This window comes from Homo sapiens, chromosome 7, assembly GCF_000001405.40.
Source record: "Homo sapiens chromosome 7, GRCh38.p14 Primary Assembly".
NCBI classification, from domain to species: Eukaryota; Metazoa; Chordata; class Mammalia; order Primates; family Hominidae; genus Homo; species Homo sapiens.
The window spans coordinates 127831719-127847399 of NC_000007.14; the positions used below are offsets into that span (position 1 = coordinate 127831719).

A 15681-nucleotide genomic window follows, 5' to 3' on the forward strand; every position below is an offset into this window, starting at 1 on the left:
GCTACTTTTTTGTGTTTTTTGCTGTTTTTTGTTTTTAAAGGCAGATGTTTTCTTTATATATTTACTTAGCTCACCGTATTGTTTCTCTTAAGACTTAATCAAATTTTTCCCCTTTCCAAATGTAATTTAAACATTTTAATCCCTGTGGAAATGTACGATGTGAAAAATTGGAAGTACCTTATAATTGCACCTTTGAAGATAAGCCCTTCTACAGTGCCAAGTATGTTCCTCTGGATTCTGTTCCATGTTTCCCTCACTTTTGTTCCCCTAAAAGGATTACATCATATTTACCATTGTTCATTTGCCTTTCTCTTTGGACATCTTTCCATAGCAGAATGTGTAGCTCCCACGTGTTCTCAGCAGCTACATCATATTTATTCAGTATTGGTAATATGTAGGTGAAAAAGATAGGCAAGGTTTCTGCCAACTTATAACTCATGAGATTTAAGATTACTGAAATCTCAACTTGTAATTATGCATTTGTGTTAAACTACTATGAATGCAAAGGACACCACATTTGTACATACATCTTTGTTTCTGTAGATTGAATTCCTAGAAGTGGAACTGCTGGGTTAAAGGACATCCACATATTAAATGTTAGTAGAATTGCCAGCCTGACCTCCAATGATGTTATAATAATTTAGACTCCTGCCAACAGTGAAAAATACCACTTAGAGAAGCATGTGGAAATTGGAAGTTCATTGGACAAAAGCACAGACAACAGTGATTAAATTCAGCAACTAGAGAAGTAGATAAAGGTGGGAAAATGATGGTGAATGCACTGAAAATTCTGTAGATCTGCACGTGATAGATCTCTAAGGCAGACAATTCTTCATAGAAAAATTCTGTCACAGCGCAGGACATCAAAATTTGTCAATTTTATAGGAAGTCAGTGAGCCATAGACTATTCTTATCTCCCTTCTATGACTGCCTCTGAGAAATGGTAAGAAAGGCATATTTGGGTTGACTTGTGGTAGACATGCAGCTTGTGCCTTAGAGCAAGGGTCCCCAAGCCCCGGACTGCGGACCGGTACTGGTCCCTGGCCTGTTAGGAAGCAGGCTGCACAGCAGGACATGAGCAGCAGGCCAGCCAGCGTCACTGCCTGAGCTCTGCCTCCTGTCAGATCAGCAGCAGCATTAGATTCTCATAGAAGTGCAAAGCCTAGTGTGAACTACACGTGCGAGGGATCTAGGTCTCATGCTCTTTATGAGAATCTAATGCTTGATGATCTGAAGGTGGGACAGTTTCATCCCGAAATCATCCTCCCCACCATCCATGTAAAAATTGTCTTCTACAAAATCGGTCCCTGGTGCCAAAAGGGTTGGGGACCACTTTCTTAGAGTGTTGACTCTTTTCAGAATGTAAGAAAATAGCCAAGTGTATTTTATATCCTGAGAAAGGTGGCCTAAAAGGTAGACTATTTTATCTTATATGACAACCGGAGACTTCTGTGTCCTTATTTAGGGGTTATTGAACATGACTTCTAATTATGGTTTTGGGAAACCATCCGTATATTTTCTTGGGAATGTGATTGAACTGTCTTTTTTTTTTTTTTTTTTTTAATGAGATGGAGTCTTGCTCTGTCACCCAGGCTGGAGTGCAGTGGCTCGATGTTGGCTCGCCGCAACCTCTGCCTCCAAGGTTCAAGTGATTCTCATGTCTCAGCCTCCCGAGTGCTGGGACTAAAGGCACATACCACCATGCCTGGCTAATTTTTGTATTTTTGGTAGAGACTGGGTTTCGCCATGTTGGTCAGGCTGGTCTCGAACTCTTGACCTCAAATGATCCACCCACCTTGGCCTGCCAAAATACTGGGATTACAGGCATGAGCCACCACACCCAGCCTGAACTGTCTTATTGAAGTAACCAGTAGATTCAGGAGTTAGCTGGGTTTGGGTTCAGAGTTGCCTCGCTCCTGCCGCTGTTATTTACTAATGTGTGGGCAGAACAGCCTGGGGGGTTGAGAGAGAGAGAGAGAGAGAAAGGCAGATACATAAAATAAAATTTACCTTCTTATTCAATTTTAAGTGTACAATTCAGTGACATTAAGCACATTCATTCACATTGTTGTGCAACCATCACTGTCCATCCCCAGAACTTTTTCTTTCCTCTTGCACAATCGAAACTCTATACCCATTAAATAAATCTCTCCATCCCCTGTCAACCATGTTCCTATTTTTGGTCTAAGAATTTGACTACTCTAGGTACCTTATTTAAATGGAATCACACAGTATTCTTTTTTGTAAGTAAGTTTTTTTTTTGTGACTGACTTCCTTCACTTATAATGTCCTCAAGATAATGAGAATTTCCTTCCTTTTTAAAGCTGAATAACATTCTATTGTATGTATCTACCATATTTTGTTTATCTACTTATCCAACAATGGGTATGTCAGTTGCTTCCACCTTTGGCTGTTGTAAATAAATTCTTCTGTGAGCCTGGGTATTGAGATATCTCTTTAAGATCCTGCTTCCAATTCCACTGATGTATACCTAGAAGTGGAATTGGTGGATCATATAGTAATTCTATTTTTAATTTTTTTGGAAAGCTAAGCAATATTTTTGCATCATATTTCTGATAATTTAGGAGTGGAAACTGGAACACTGTGGAACTGAGAAATGGTTTGATCTAGAATTATCCTCCACTGGTAACTGCCCAGTTTGTGAATGTGTGTAATTGTAGGCCAAGGAGTTGGTTGTGTGCCTGTTCACTGTTTTCCAAAACAATGACTGTAAATCAAGAGACCTGAATTTGAAGGGAGACGCAGATACAATGCAGGATGGTCTTTGATCGGTGTCTGTGACTTTAGTTGTCATTGTTCTATGCACGCCGTGCCTTTGATCATGGAACCTTGCTTCATTTAGTAGGCCTCTACTTTGTGAAATAGAGGGATGGTGTGGTATGTTTACAGGAAGAAAGGCTGATATTGATACCTGATTTTCTTGGAATGTTTACTTAGCCACAAAACTGACAATTTATATACACAAGTGCTATATCCTTGTGTTATTTAGTCATTGGCGTGTATTCCTAAAGAATTATTGTGTTTTTTCTTCATGATTTTCCTTTGACATCATTATATACATCCTTGAGGTCAGCTCACCATTCTAACTTTGGCCTTTATTTAATTTACCTAAACATATATTTTCCTTGTCTGAGTGACTTCTTGATGCCAGCTCATGGGCATGCTGGAGAAATGGGAGTGCTCTGAATTGTAGTCAATGCAGGATGGCTTTTGTGTTCTGGTTTTGCTCACCCAAGCAATACCTACTCCCCAGGGAAATAGGAGTTTATTGGAACTCTTGGCAGGGTGAATACTTTAGTCCCCACTTTTATTGATTAGATTTCCCTGGTATTTTGGTGGGTGCAGGCATTCAAAATCTTTATAGACAGAGCAAATGTAATGTAACCTTTTGTTTTCATCCATTTCTTAATAATATCCCCTTCCCCCCACTAATTATTCTTAGAAGCCATTAAGCAAGTCTCCTTTCTTCATATTCTTGTTCCTCTCATCATAGTTTCATTACTGCTGTTGTTTTAAAGATTGGGTGACATTGGGTGTATTTGACATAAAGGCAGAAGTATCTCCATGTAAAATTTGTGCTGCTTGTGTGGCTGGAACTCCTCCAGGGAGAGTTCTGGAAAAAGGGATTTAATTTCTCCTGACTGCTGGTGACCTTGGAAATTTTGGCCATAGATGACTGTGATTGACGCTTGTATAATGGAGAAAAAAGACCCACCCTCAACTTTCATCCTTTAGAGGAAGGCAATGGGAGTTGGCAGCTCTGGTGAGGAATAAGAAGGGACATACAGGCTACACAAGGGACAGTTTCCAGTAGTGCCTCTGAAACCTTTTGACATTCCTCCTTAGGGACAAGCAGGTTGTATTAAAAGTAGGTATTGGTGTGAGTTATGCCTGTGATAAAATAATGAGTAAGATAATGGAGCATTAGCACAAACACACATTATACTTTTTAAGTATGTTTGTAGGATTATAAATCCTGGAGAATCGAGATTTAATGAAACTGCTGGAAGCTGGGATCACTATTTTCAAATAGTGATCTCTGTGTCTTTCTCTAAGGTACCCCTCAGATTTATTTAAAATATTGTCATTTGTCAAAATTTGATGTTTATATGTGCCTATTATTTACTTCCGTATAGAAACTGCTTGGTCAGTATATTTTCAGATCATTTTATTATGTTTGTTTTCAGGTTGTTATCACTACTTCTAGAAATCTTTGCCATTTTCTAATGGCCCCTTACCTAAAATGTTTTAATGTTTTGTGGATCTCGAGTTTGTGTATGCTCCTAATTAAATATTTACCGAAGTGAAGGTTTATCAGGGAGCAGTGATGTCCACTTAAATGAATGCATGATGTCAGATAGAGACTCTTAACATCTCCATGGACGCCATATTCAGCTGTATTTTACCTTTCCCCTCAAAACAGATAAAAGCGTCTGCCCATCCCGGGGACAGAGGAGTGGTTGGGATAGGAGACTCATTTTGTCAAAAATGTATCAAATAAGAACACTTTCTAAATGTGTTTATAAAGGTTTATAGGCATTATAGATTAAAATTCCATTGATGAAAATGAAATGTAGTCAAAATAGTTTTGGGGTTTGGGGGTAGGATGGTGATTTTAGATGGGAGAGAGCAGCATAAATACATGTGAAGAAACAACCAGCCTAAGCACCTAATTACAATGATTTGGAAGGGGGTGTTAGAGAATACATCTGGGCTGGATTGGAGAGTTAGGAAGGGAGCATTGGTTTATGTCTTCTAATCTTTGTAGCATAGATGAGACAACAAAATGTATAATTTTTTCTGAACGTATTTATAAAGGTTGTTGCAGAGCTCAAAGATGTCCTGATGGAAGAGGTAAATTTCAGCATTTTATAATTATAAAAATATATAAAAATAAGTAGGTTACATCTACCAGTTATTTGTTTTCTTTTTAATAATATCAGCAATTAACAGAAGCCTTAATTATTAACTACAAAAACAGTTATTTCTTAACCTGAGTTTCTGGCCACAGCCACCATCTACCCACCATCCATCCATTAGAATAAACTTCAAACACTAAGGTAAAGAATTCTAGAATCATGTTGACAAATCAGGAATTAATAAAATTCAGCTATTGAATTGGTAGAAGGAACTGAAAAATACCTTCACCAAACTACTGAATAGAATATATTTTACATATATAGTACAGACTAAGGGATTTTTCCCTCAGTGTATAAATTTATCCTCACACCTGAAATTCTTTTTCTGAACTAAAAATGTATGTGGCTTATCTTTGTAATCTAGTCAGATAATAGATTTGAAAAAGAAAATGAAGGCTAAATATTTTATTTTTGATACCAGGGTTTTTATATCATATTTTTTTCATATTTGGTTTAAGAATGTTTACAAAGATTCATAAAACATACGTTCACAGGGAAAAATACAGAGAGAAATCAGAACCACAGATAGGATAGAGGAATGAGGCTAAGACTTGTGCCTTAACTGATACTCTAGGAATGCCCACTGAGTTTTAAGCATTGCAGTGTGGCTGGTCCAAATTGAGATGTTTGTAAAGTACACACCAGATAGTAAAGATTTAATACAAAAAAAGATCTCAACACTTTTATAATATTTGTTATATATTGACACGATGTTTTAGAAATTTTGCATTAAATAAAAAATCATATTAAAATTAATTTCACTTGTTTCTTTTTAATGTTTCAACATGGCTACTAGGAAAATGTGAACATACACATGTGGGTCTCATTTGTCACTTATTATATTTCCATTACACAGTACTTGCCTAGAAGGAGGTAAGTTTAACATCCTCTCTTGAGAGATGAGCAGTTCCACAACGGCTAATGTCTGAATTAGCTTGGAGGTAAGCTCAGAGCATGCCCAGAGGCAGGACCAACAGGCTCCTTAGCAATTTGTTTTGAAGCTCTTCCTGTACCTCGATGAATGGGTGATTGATGTGTGTTTTAAAATGTTTAAAAATATGTATCACTTTTATAAGTTTAGAATGATAATATACTTTTAACAGAGAAAAATTATTAAAACTACATTATGTAAATATTAAGGAGCACTTTGTATGGAAGATCCTGTTGTTATAAATAAATTTTCAGTGCTGCAAGAGAAGTAGCACTCGAACATAAATTTAATTTTCTCAGCAAGGCAATTTTTACTTCTATAGAAGGGTGCGACTCCTGGATGGAGTAATGGTGAGAGCACACTTCAACAAGGGAGGGGAACAGGCAGGTAGCCCCTACTGCTATGTTGTTCCCCTGTTGGCTAGGGTTGGACCGCACAGTCTAAGCTAATTCCAATTGGCTATTTTAAAGAGAGCAGGGGTACGAGCCTGAGTGGCGGAATGAGTAGTTTGGTGGGAAGGGCTTACAGAACAGGTGACTCAAGATGATTCAGTTCAGAGCAGGTGACCAGGGGTGACTCAAAGGACGGAGCAGGTGACCAGGGGAACAGATGTCAACTACTGATTAGAACTGGTGGAAAAGGTTGTTTACTGAAACTAGGGGCAAGGAGAATGAGGAAGTTAAACTTTAAAATGGAGAACAAGGAACAGGGGAGCTGAACATACTGATGCACTGGTTCTTTGGAGAGGATCTCAGAACTCATCGTACTTAACAATTTACAGGCTAAAAACCTTTGAAGAGAAATTTATTATATCCTACACTGTTAAGCCCAAAGCAAATGGAAACTTGGTTACTATTTGATGTTCACTGTCTTCCTAATTTAGTAAGGCAAGAAGTATCCTGCCCCAAATATCCATAGTTAACCTATTATTTGAGATGGTTCACAACACTGTGCTTCAATTGTCTTTGGTAAATAAAATATCCAATAACTGGTAGCTGCAAAATTAATGTTAAATATCTAAATAAATACTAGTGTATCATTCTTTAAAATAATCCTTACTTAGCTCTAAGTTGGGATGAATATGTATGAAGTACTACATATTTTTGTTTGCTGTGGCTCTTTAAAGAGAAAAGTGTATTTAATTTAGTCTTTCTGCCTGATGATTTCCAAAGTCTAATGATTTAAATCAACATGTATCTGATTTATGCATGTATGTATTTGTGTATGTGTTTATCTCATGGATACTTATTTAGCATTTAACTCTGTGCCAGACACTGCCCTAAGAAAATTAGTACATGTTTATCTAAAAATAACTGGCACTTAGATAGAACGTACAATGATTCAAGCACTGTTCTAAATGATACATATGTATCTTCCTACAGCAGTGAGATACGCACAGTAAATGTGTTAAACATAAGCAGAGAAGTTAGGTCGCTTATCTAAGTTCACACAGCTCCTTTCTAGAATTGCTGGGAACCAGTCACTGCAGCCTGGCTGTTCTGAAGTGTCCGTGTTCTTATCGAGCCTATGTGAAACATTCCATTTTACTTACTTTTGTTTCTAGGCAGCATCCGTGGGACTCAGGCCAAATGGTGTCGTCTTTTCAGTATTAGGGGTGCGTAGAGGCTTTCCATAAAGTCTGGAAATTCTGTCATGAGAGGGGTAATAAAGGGGTTATTTTGAGAGACAAGGTGTTTATTTAGCTCTTTGTGAATTTATGAGTGGCTATGTGGAATAGTGGGTGGGATTATGTGGCGATTATGCCCCAAAGCCTTACGTAACAGCTCTAGTTATATTAAAACTAAGCTCAGGCTACAACCTGGAAATGTGGCTCTGCAGTTGTTTTCCTTCCTACCTCCTCTAACCTTTTATGCTTAGGTAGTTCACTTTTTGGCGTTTTGTTATCATCAGCATCAGTCTGTGAAGTTCTTTGGTGGTTTGATACTGTTCTAGTCATACATTGTATGAAGAATATCCAGAGAGCCTGAGAATTCTGTTGTGTGGCCCATAGCTGTTCTATACTAAACTATTCCAGACTTTACAAGCAATTAATATATAAATTTAGTTTGAAGTTACCATCTTAGTTCCTCTGAAGGGTCCCTGAAATTGCTTTCAAGGAAAATTCTATAATCTAATAGACGAAGGTTGCCTGCTACCCTCTTACCTTTGAGAACCTCTTTGAGGAATAAATAATATGAGAAAGTATGTATGTTTCATATTTGGCTTGCTTCATCTTTCATGGTTGTTTGCGCTAGAGCTTTATCACAGTTTTAAAATATTGCTCCTCCCCCAGTTCCTCCTCCCTATCCTCCACGGTTTAAATAAATATATTTTTACTATATAAAACAGCAGAATGATCAACAGCTTGACAAAATGGTCCTCAGGATGCCCTGCCTTCCCACTTCAAGGGTATCCTTCATAATGTTATGTCTGAAAAGATTATTGATTATATATTTACTCATGCAACAAACATTTACAGCGTAGTCTCCTGCCTTACAGGCCCATGCCAGCTCTTTGAGTGAATAAGACATGGTCTCCCCACTCTTGGAGCTTACAGTTGGTGTGTTCCAATACCATGTAGTAAATGTAAGGTAGGAAATACAAAGATTTAAGAAAACAGTATATAGTACCCCATGTCTGACTAAATTATCTTTTAGAATTCTAGAGTGAAATGATGCTCTGATGTTCTAATCTAGTGCTCTCGTTTTTAAGGTCAAGGGAAACTGAGACCCAAAGATGTTACGTGCCTCATTTGTAAGGGAGCTTCAAGTAGCACCAAGCAAGAGCCCAGGGCTCTTTGTGGTCACTCATTGCTATAAACAGGGATCAGGGTCTGAGTCAGTTATATAGCCCTTGGTCATGTATTCGTAAAATACTTGCATACAAAACATTTCAGGAATATCTTAAAAAGGAGAACCCATCTATATTAATCAGTTTCTTCTCTCATGCCGTTTTATACATACTTACCCACAAACACAAAATTCAGGTTATCATTTATTTAGACGAAGATGTTGCTAAGATTTACACTGGTTTTAATTGAAGCTGTTAAAACCATGGTTCTTTTTCAAGTGATTGACAGGTCAGTGTTGAATATCTTGAGATGAAAAATTCCAGGGTAGAGGAAGAGATCTCAGAATCCACAGGGGAGGGACACAAATGCTAATTACACATTGACTTTAATTCCTGATTTGTCATAGCTGCCTGCAGGTGTATATCTTGGCTGTGGGCTATTCTCCGGGCCTCATTTGTATTTCAGATTTTCTTTAATAATGTTGCATCCACAAATAACTGTTTAATCTCTGACTTATTTACAGTTCTTATTCTCTTGATATGGGAAACAATTAATTGGCAGGTGAATGTAGTTGTTTCTTTTGGTTATTGAAGATTAAAATTTTTTTGTCTTCCCACTGATTTCCCTGGAAGACAGTTTTGGAACAGCACCTCACTTTGGCCTTCTGGCCTGAGAGATACACAGGTGTTCACTTTTGTTTGTTATTCCTCCTATTATTACTCCCACACATGTGGCATAGTGAATTAGCCCTCTTGATGAATTAGCTCTCTCTCTGGGTTGAGAGCTAATGTTCCTCTGTGCTAAACAGCTGCTGTCCCACCCCTGTCTGCCTACTGAGAAGGAGATTTGGCATTGGGAGGCACAAGGTAACCTTGAGATTAACTTAGTTTTTTTTTTTAAGCAGTGCTGATTTTTTCCCTAGGTAGTAGAATTGAGGGCTTGAGCTTGTTAGATGGATTGGGTGAAAACACGAAAGATACATGGACCTCGTTCCTCATTTCCACATATTTATTAACTTCCCAGCGAATGCCCCCAAATTGGACCATACCCTGTGGCCTTGTCCTATTTAAAATGGGCCCTGAGATACTTTACATGGTATAGCCACCTTCACTGTCTACCTTCTGTACACTCGTGATTTTTTGCCATGACTCCAGCTATCTTGTTGTTTTCCTCACCTGCTTCTATAAGCTTGTTGTGAGGCCTTGTCTGAGGAGAGTTCCAGGGTGTATTAGCATCAAGACCACTTCTTCCCTTCCCTGGTTCTGAGTTACTCAGGCCTGTCTGTGTGCAGCCCTCTCATTCCTTGCCCTTTTTTTGGCCTATATTAACTCTGGCCAGCAGCATGCAGGGAAAGTATTAAAAACCTTTTTGTTGGAGGGCACTAGTTGTTCAATCCCCCTGTCTGAACACATTTCTCACATTTTTACTCATTTCCTGAGTTTTATAGTAGTTGTTAAGACCTTGCAATAATTTAAAGCTAGGTATCTAATTTTAGGAGTCATCTTTATATTTTCTTACTTTCTGTGTTGTTGTGCTATGACCATACTTCTCATAAGAATGATTTACCTTAACCTCAGCCCTTAATTGGCTTGGGCTCTGATATGGCTCCATTCTGCTGCTTCTAAAGCATGATTCAATGGAGTGTTCAAGTGGGTGATCTGACAGTTGGAATTTTGAGGCATCTATCCTTTTCCAGATTTCCATGTTCATTTTCAAGATGAGTTTTTGAAGAGAAGACAGTTTGAAAGGATTTTAACGGTGCTCACTAGCAGTGTGGCTGAACTCCATGCTTCTGCAATATGCTGTCTTTAAGCTGATCAGTGAGAGCTGAAGATGTATTTAGAAAAGGGATTCCAGACTGTGGAGAAGGCTTCCGTCTCCTTGATCCCCATGCACCTCTTCAGTGTGGGTTTGTAAACCTTGGTTTTGACCCAAACCAAGCCTACAACTTCATTCTGTGAAGACTTGCCCTATATGTTTGCTACAGGATACTATGTTTATCTTCAAAGTTTTCATAATAAAAAAGCATTGTTTAGTGTGTTCATATCCATTTATTTAGTGTATTCTAGGGTTAAACCATTTTTGCATTTTGTGCGTCTAACTTCCTGTCTGCAAAATTAATTCAAAATCTAAGGATTCATCTAGTCCATTCTATCTCCCCTACCTGCACACTGCTTAACTCTCAAGTATGTTGGTGTTGGGCTTAATTAGCTGTATCTTTTTGATTTACATACTGTGAAACCAATTCCAAGCATCTTTGTAATTGTTATCTTGTTTGTTCTTCTATGTATTTATTTATTTATATTTTTTATTTTTCAGAGAGATGGGGGTCTTGCTTTGTTTCCCAGACTGGTCTTGAACTCCTGGCCTCAAGCAATTCTTCTACCTGGGCCTTCCAAAGTGCTGCAGTTATAGGAGCAAGCTATTGTGCCCACCTTGTTTGTTGTTCTTAATAACTCTTAATCTGGTCCTTAGGAAGCTGTGACAGACAGATTATATGGAGTTTTTCTATGGAGGCAGTTCATATTTTTAAATACAGGTTTTCAAAGTAGTCTGACCCAGAAGAGGTTAAAGCACTGCTTTATCATAATGTCTAGGAGTCCAACAGGAATGTTGCAAACCTCTTCTCTGTAAAGTAAAATTGCTGTGGGGACCTATGTGTTTAGTTGTTTGATTTACATCTTTGGTTATCAGCTTTTTTCTTTCTTTTTAAAATGGACTTTTTTTTTTAGAGCAGTTTTGGATTAACAGGAGAATTGAGCAGAAGTTACAGAGATTTCCCATATACCTTCTGCCCCCTACACACAATCTTCCACACCAGAGTGGTATATTTATTACAATTGTTGAGCCTACCTTAACACATCATTATCACACAAAGTCCATAGGGTTTGTGCTTGGTGTTATATCATCTGTGGGCTTTGATATATGTATAGTGGCATGTATTCACCACTATAGTGTCGTACAGAATAGTTTCATTACGCTAAAAATTCCCTATTCTCTGCCTATAACTCCTGGCAAAATTCCTTCTCTCCTTCTAACTCCTGGCAACCACTGATATTTTTATTGTCTTTGTAGTTTAACCTTTTCTAGAATGTCGTATAGTTGGAATCATACAGTACACCTTTTAAAGTGTCTGCTTTCACTTAGTAATATATGTCTAAGCTTCCTCCATGTCTTTTCATGGCTTGATAGCTCATTTCTTTTTATCACTGAATAATATTCTGTCATCTGGATATACCACAATTTATCCATTCACCTACTGAAGGATATATGGATTCCTTCCACATTTTGACAGTTATGAACAAAGCCACTGTTAATATCCATGGGCAGGTTTTGTGTATGTTTTCAACTCCTCAAGTAAATTTCAAGGAGCTGTATTCCTGGATCAAATGGTAAGAGTACATGTTCAGTTCTATAAGAAATGACTAAACTATCTTCCAAAGTGGCTGTATCATTTTGCATTCCTACCATCAATGAATTAGAGTTCCTATTGCTCCACATCCTTGCCTGCCTTTGGTGTTGTCAGTGTTCTGAATTTTGACTATGCTACAACGAGCAGTGGTATCTCATTGTTGTTTAAGTTGGCAATTTTCTAATCACATGTAATGTAGAACATCTTTTCCTGTTCTTATTTGCCACTTGTATGTATTCTTTAGTAAGCTGTTTGGATCTTTTGCATTTTAAAATCAGGTTGTTTTATTATTGTTGAGTTTTAAGAGTTTTTTGTATATTTTAGATAAATGTTCTTTATTAGTTATGTCTTTTGCCAACATTTTCTCCCAGTCTGTTGCTCAGCTATTTCTTTTAATTGGTTTTAAAAATCTTAGATTCAGAAAACCAAACTGGAGTGAGCTGATCTTTCACAGTTGAGCAGGCACATGTGGCTGCTAGTGAGCTATGTTGCAGACTCTCAACCCTAATTCCCTTGATTCTTTGTTTCCAGGTCAATGTGACGGTGGACTACATTAGACCAGCCAGCCCAGCCACAGAGACAGTGCCTGCCTTTTCAGAGCGTACCTGTGCCACTGTCACCATTGGAGGAATGTGAGTGTTCTGGCTGGCATGGACTCAGCTGTCATCTCAAGTAGCTAAGAGTTCTTTGCTCATTTGAATCTTTCCTTCCTTTCACTCTGCTTTGCTTTCTCCTGCTCTTAACTCAGTGGTTTATAATTTTGTGCCTGTGTAGCACTTTATATTTGTAAGTACTTTATAATCACTCATTAGCTAATCGTATACTTTCATTATTGTAGTTATTTAAGATTTATTGGGCTCTGTGTGCCTGGCACTATGAAGTACACATCATTACTATTAATAATGCCATTTATTGAGTATCAAGCAGGCCCTAGATACTGTCTAAAATGGTCTCTGCATATTGGTTTAGGAAGTCTAGGTATAGAATAGCAGGTAACAAAGAGGGAAGAAGAGGAGAGGTTAATTGGACATTTTCTTGTATGTAATCAGTAGACGATGAGGTCATCCTATTCTGCTGTACTGGCTGTAACCTGGTTAGATTCCAAGGTCTGTTGGCAGCCAGGCTGAGGAAGAGTCTTTCAGGGGAGATATCTGATAGGGGAAGGAGGAAGCCTGCTGGGCCCTGCTTCCCCAATAAATATTACAACAGTCAGCCAGTCCCCAATAGCAATTCTTACTTTGCATAAAATATACCAGTATGGTAATTGTCTCCTTTTCCATTTAACAATCTTATATGCTAGTTGTTACCAAACTGTTATTTTTCATTTCTTTTAAGTGGGCATATTGATGGGGAAGAAAATAATAGGTTTGTCATCAAAACAAGGATTGTGTTACTGAAAGTACAGTGAAGCCACTTAGGAGAAGTACCTCCAAGCTATTGCAGGCCTCTGAAAGGAATAAGCATTTTGTAGCTGCTTAGCTTCATGAAAGTCTCCTAACAGGAGCCTCTTTCACCTCATTCGTGCTTTCACATTTGGAAATGACTATTTTTAGCCACTGCTACCGATCCTATATTTATTAATGTTGTTAATGTTCACACAACAATTGGAGGTTTCGTCTTTGCCAGGAGGCGCTCAGTATAGGCATTTGATGTTTACCTTCACGCCATCACAGGTTTTGTTAGAAGCAGGTTCTTGACAAATCAAGTAATATTTTTGAACTGGGAAAAACTAGGACATATTTTGGTCATTATTCTATCTGTATAAATTACAATAGTTATTTGTTACCAATTTGTTACCACTTCTTAGGAGTCAGTTGTATGCTTCCCTGTTGTAGAGACCTGGAATCTTAGTATTCTATCTAAATATTTTTACTGCCACAGAAAGCCATCTCCATAGATACTGCTGCTTTTAAGTACTGGTGAAAACAACTTCACTGTTGTACAAAACCACGTGTCTTTATTTTTGGCAGGTGGCCTCCACCAGTATTTAACATTCTATTAGAATGGATTATCTCCTTTAGTTACCACTGAAGAATATTTAAAAAATAAGTTTACACTGCTTAAAATGAGATATTCAGGGAGTATTTTATAGCAATCTTTTTATTTTTAAGATAATTTGAGACAGATAATTTAAAATACTTTACAGGGCAGAGTGTTGTGGCCATGCTTTGTGCCTTAAAACCTTGAGATCTCCACTGTGTTTATTTTGGCTTTGACAGAGATTACTCTTTCAGCCTTCCTCTCTGCAAATGTGGGGTAGCTGTCTGTTCTAGTCTGGGTTTCTATTACATTCTTGAGTCCTTGTAAGAAGGTGTCAATTCTGTTGGCTGTTTAACAACACAGGTTGGTTGGTCTTAATTGACAACCTACAATATCTATACTCCAGGTTTGTGCCAGAGATAATGAACTTGAATTTTCTGCTTCCCAGTTCTTGTAATTGGATTGTATGAAATATTCTTTTTTTTGTGATTTACCAAAGTAAAATTTTTTTTTTAGAAGTTTAGAAGCATGTACAAGTTTAGAAGAATTTTACAAGTACTCTTCTAGATACTTAAATTGTCTCCTTGGATTAGACCAGCCTGGCAGGTACCTGGAAAGCATTATGAGTTTCTTCATAGGGTTTTTCATCCTGAACTATAGTTTGTGGTTAAATGGGTAGGCTGCAAACAGGAGAAATGTAAGGAATTTACTGATACTGAAACCATCCTTCATTAGACTGTTGTGTCCCTAAAGATAGGGAATTTTGTGTCTTATTCCCTGTTGTAGCCCTAGTATCTAGCATATGGTAGGAAATCAATGAATTTGTTGAGTGATTCATTAACTTTATTGCAAACTCTTCCTTTATGAAGCATAACTTGGATGTTAGTAGCATCTAAGGCATGACCACAGGTTTGTTTTTATCTAATCAGTACTGTAAAACTTATAACTGATAATTTTATTCTGTTTTTTATTTTTCTTTATCAGGCGGCCCCCAGAATCACAGCAGATTCAGAGAGACTCCCAGATAATTTTATTCTTTTATTTGATGATTGGAAGCTCACTGCCAAAGAGAGGCCATCTCTAGCAAATAGACCTAGCTGCACACTTTCTGTGTTCTAATCTTAGTCACTGCTTCTGTTTGTTTTCCTTTTATCTTGCTTTTGTTTTTATTTATCCTTTTTTTTTCTGAATTTTCTATATTTTAAAAAATCTTGGCCAGGCGCGATGGCTCATGCCTGTAATCCCAGCACTTTGGGAGGCCGAGGCGGTTGGATCACCTGAGATCAGGAGTTTGAGAGTAGCCTAACCAACATGGTGAAACCTCGTCTCTACTAAAAATACAAAAAAAAATTAGCTGAGTCTGGTGGCAGGTGCCTGTAATCTTAGCTACTTGGGAGGCTGAGGCATGAGAATTGCTTGAACCCCGGAGGCGGGAGTTGCAGTGAGCCGAGATCATGCCACTGCACTCCAGCCTGGGCAATAGAGTGAGACTTTGTCTCAAAAAACAAACAAACAAACAAAAAACTCCATTAATATTATAGAAAATTTGAGGTATTGATAATTAAGAATCTCCAAATACTTAGCTTATTTTCAGAATTAAGTTATACTACTAAGAGCCTTTTATCTT

General features: G+C 37.8%; 1 protein-coding gene across 2 annotated transcripts in view; it reads left to right on the forward strand.

Annotated features, from left to right (window-relative positions):
* Positions 1–15681, forward strand: part of SND1 (staphylococcal nuclease and tudor domain containing 1) — a 440400-nt gene that overhangs the window by 179525 nt on the left and 245194 nt on the right. For both annotated transcript variants that reach the window (NM_014390.4, XM_017011987.3), the window contains exon 12: positions 12606–12706. In NM_014390.4, the coding sequence (NP_055205.2) occupies positions 12606–12706 (101 nt within the window). The remainder of the gene's footprint in view (positions 1–12605; positions 12707–15681) is intronic.